This window comes from Homo sapiens, chromosome 5 (genome assembly GCF_000001405.40).
Source record: "Homo sapiens chromosome 5, GRCh38.p14 Primary Assembly".
NCBI classification, from domain to species: Eukaryota; Metazoa; Chordata; class Mammalia; order Primates; family Hominidae; genus Homo; species Homo sapiens.
The window spans coordinates 61,305,637-61,310,039 of record NC_000005.10 but is presented as its reverse complement, the minus strand read 5'-3'; the positions used below and the strand labels follow the sequence as shown (position 1 = coordinate 61,310,039).

Here is a 4,403-nt window from a genome sequence, read left to right as displayed (position 1 = left end):
AGTTTCTCACTATGTTGGCCAGGCTGGTCTCGAACTCCTGGCCTCAACTGATCTTCCCATTTTGGCCTCCCAAAGTGCTAGGATTACAGGCATGGCCTCATGATCAATATTAGAATTTTTTTTCACCCCATAAAGAAACCCCATACCATTGCACCCACTTTCCATTTCCCTCCAAATCTCCCCAGCCCTAGGCAACCACTAATCTACCTTTTGTCTCTACGGATTTGCCTATTGGCCATTTCATATAAATGGAATCATGCAATGGGTAGCCTTTTGTGTCTGGCTTCTTTCCCTTAGCACAATGTTTTCAAAGTTCATCCATGTTATAGCATTCATTTTAGTCGTGTATTTTATTTAACCCAATCAACCCAAAGTATTATCATTTTAACATATAGTAAAAAAAGGATTAATAATATATTTTACTTTTTAAAAATATGTCTTTGAATTTTGGTGTGTGTTTTTACAAATACAGCACATTTTAAGTGCCCAGTAGCTACATGTGGCTAGTGGCTACTGTAAACAGCACAGCCCTAGTCAAAGTCTTTTGTGTTACCTTTTAAAAACAAGAACAACAACTCTCTCCACTTACCACCTCTATCCTGGGGACTCCCTCACCCCCATCAGCACCTACACCATCATTCACAGGTGGCTTGAGGATTTTAAGGCGGTCACTATGTTGCGGTGCTCAATTCTTCTTTCTCTTCCCTCCTAGAAGGTTCCCGGCTCCTGCTTCTGCCTTGTCCATTGCAACTGAGATCAAAGCCCTCAAGCAGATAACTGGAGCTCACCCTGCCTGCTTGCAACCTGCTTGCCCTGTTTCCCTGTGCCTCATGGTTAGACGATGCATCTTGTTAAAGTGAAACGTTCTGTTTCCCTTCATGAGAACACTCTAGAAAAACCTAACAAGAGAAGCTTTCCTCTTACTTTAAGAAAACAAGCTTGTCATTTCTTAATTTTCTCCCTGGTCCATTTTCAACACCCATTGTTTTGCTCAGAGTGGCTCTAAGCACTCAGATAAAGCTCACTGCTAGGGGTAGATTTGTGAAATTGCTACAAGCTTCCTCACAGCTTTCTCCTGCTCTTGTCAGCCATCTCCCCAAGAAAATGGATGTTTAATCAGTGCAAGGGTACATTTTATTAGTCTGGCTCATCAGCCATCACCTTCATTCAGGCTCAAGGGAGACCACAGAAAGAAACCTACAGTGCTGGCAGTGGCTGCCCAGGATGCAGGAATTTCAACACGAAGCAGCCCCTTTATGAACTAAGCACAGTATTTATCTCAGTATAGCTCTGTCTGTATGGTAATAAGTAAGTTATTTCTAAACCTTTGTGACTCAAGACTGGCACATGAAAATGTTTGTGAAATTACCTTTTTGAGGGAAAAGCTTAAAAAATTATTTAGTTCACAAAATGGAAGATTGAGGGCAAGTTTAATAGAAATGTGAGAACAGCAATATCAGCATCTTTCCTGTTTCTCTTTAGAGTCGGAAGGGAGAGAATGTGCTAAAATCGCTGCAGAAGGAATTTGGTGTTGACTTTCGGAAGAATTTCCTGCTAATAATATTGAAGTGCTGGAGAACCTCACAGAAGGAGCTTCAGGGTTTCGTTCTATCAGCATCTCCTGAGCACCTTCTGGAGATTTCCTGGTTTGTGTCTAATTCTGTCCTACAACTAAATCGGGAAGATTTCACCCAAATGCTTTTCCAGAGTCTGATTTTCCTAAACTGAAGTGTTGCTATCTCTTTTTTCAAACTTAACTCTTCTTTTTATTCTCAGCCACCTATGAATTTTCCCTGGGCCCACAAGTCCTAGAGCCTGCCATACACACACACACACACACACACACACACACACACACACACACACACACAAGCTTTAAAAATTAAGCATTATTCAAAAAGTAGAAAATCTACACAAGTCAAGAGTTCTTTAGCCTCTTGGTCAAAAAGCCATTCATAAAGCAATGGCATTCTGGGAAAAGTGGCAGCAATGGTAGTCACCTCAAAGGTTTGGAGACTTCCTGTGAGCTTATTTATATCAACTACCTCTTTTTATTCAACTAAAACCTTGTTTTCTACAGAAAATGGCAATACCATTACCATTCTAGGATTCCCTGTGTTAGGCCTCACCCTGTAATGGCTTGGCTGTCTATGCAGAACAGTTAAAACACTCAGAGCCCCAGGGAATGTCATAAAATTTTACCATATCCAGTGACACCCTATTCAATGAGTTGTAGAGAACCAAGTTTTCTTCTGAACACCCTGGCTATGAATCATTGAATTGCAGACTTCCATTTGGAGTTGTTTTCCTGTTGTAATTAATTTTTCCTTGTGTTATGCACATTCATGAGCACCTAACCTTTTTTAGGGATGCATGTCTAATTCCACATAATTCTGAAATTCTTCAGTTGTTTACACGGCAATCTTGTGTGATCCAGGCTACTCTATTATTGCTATCATTTTAAGACTGAGACATCTTAATAGTCCCATTTTTTTTCTTTTCCTCTTGCTTATTTCCAAATGGAAGGAATTCTTATGAGGTAATAGGGCAGTGGGGAGGAGACGGTTTGCTTTAACTTCTGCTAGTTATTCCATGTTATGCCCGAGTGGGTTATTTGCATCTGGTCTCTATTTGTTAACATCAATGGGCTGTGTTTGCATAACTAGATCAAATTATGAAAGGATTTCCATTTTGAATGGTTAACTCTCACCAAATACAAACACACACACACACACACACATGCACACACACACACACACACACACACCACACACGATCAAGCTCCAAGCTGGAGACACCAGCCTTGGGAAACCTTTGCTAGAGAAAAAAGGATTCCCCTACAGTTCATCACAAAGCTGTTCTGGTTTCAATTTCCCCTCTCCTTTTGAAATAAGATCCATTACCCTCAGCCCTCTACCTAGAGTAAAGTAGCTGGGACTTGGAGGAAGTGGCATGGCAGACCACCCAACAACAGGGGCGTCTGATGTGGAAAGGAAAAGTTAAACCAAAAATCTAAAGATGATGTCAAAGAGATGAATCATGCTCCCATTTCTCTCCAGTGAAGATCCGCACGCTGGAGTGTTCAGTTACTCACCCAGCTAGAAGGGGCTGGACTAAGTCACTTTCCAGTCCATACCTCAGCCTTCAGGCAGTGTGCAACAAACCCTTTCAAGAGACTCTTTCGCTTTCAAGTTCTTGAGAAATGTTTCTATTCTCTAAACTCCTCAGGCTGTCTTCTGTCAACATACCTATCTCTTCCTTTTACTCATACACATTTTCTTATCACTATCTGATGTGTTTTGTCCCTTCCACTAAGCTGTGAAGTTCCTGAAGCCAAAGAATGGGTCTTGTTCCACCAGAGGGTGGCCAGCACCTCCATGCTAATACCAGGGACAGGGGAGTTATCCCACATCGCTGAGCTTGCATTACTTGTTTTGTTATCACTCTGGATCAAGATTCTCTCCCTTAGATTGTGAAATTTGAGAGAGCAGGACCTCAGTTAGTGAAAAATGCAAGTGACTCCCTGCCAGAGTCAGCTTCACTAGTGGATCCAGGAAGCAGCCACATCTAGGGTGTGTGATTTGAGGGGTTTTGGAAACACCTTCCACCCTCAACTTCTAAAATTCCACCAACTGTCACTTTTTTCACTTACTGTTTTGAGCCTTTTTCAAATACGAAGTCATACATGTAGTGTGACTTTAAAACCTTTTAATGATCTTCATATAATTTATATAACTTATCATGTTACTGCTTAGAGTAGATAAAGGAAAGATACTGAGTGTGGGAAAAGGAGGAGATATGACCAGAAAGGTGGGAGGGAAGTTTGGATGTCAGTCGGCCCTAATCACACCAAAATCTTTTCAATAATGTGTGATGGTGTTGTTATGAAGCATTTCTCTCTATCCAAAAGCACAGCAGATTCTTTGTGTATTGACTAGAATATGAATAAGATTGGGTGCATTTAAAGAGTGCTCACTGTATGCCAGCGAGTGCTCTAAATGCCTATGAGCAACCCAGTAGACCCTGCAACTCCCTGTTATCCTTCCAATTTTACAGATGAGAAAACAGAGGGATGGGGGATCCAAAAGTCACCAAGGCAAGAAGGTGGCAGACCAAGAAGAAGAGTAAGAATTACTGACACTTTTATTTTTATTCCTTTTTTTTTTTTTTTTTTTTTTTGAGACAAGGTATCACTCTGTTTCCCCAGCTGGAGGGCAGTACTGCCATCATAGCTCACTGCAGCCTTGAACTTCTGGACTCAAGGGATCCTTCCTACTCTGTCTCTTGAGTAGCTGGGATTACAGGAAAGAGCCACCATGCCTGTTTGATATTTTTAAAAAGAAATTTTTGTAGACGCAGGTCTCGCTATGTTGCCCAAGCTGATCTCAGACTCCTGGACTCAA

At 41.3% G+C, this 4,403-nt stretch overlaps 1 long non-coding RNA gene across 1 annotated transcript; it reads left to right on the top strand.

The window, feature by feature from the left end:
- Nucleotides 1-548: 548 nt before the first annotated feature.
- Nucleotides 549-4,124, top strand: LOC105378993 (uncharacterized). The gene is made up of 3 exons (XR_948365.2): nt 549-833; nt 1,483-1,646; nt 4,057-4,124. It is a non-coding gene; the product is annotated as an uncharacterized LOC105378993 (long non-coding RNA).
- Nucleotides 4,125-4,403: the final 279 nt, after the last annotated feature.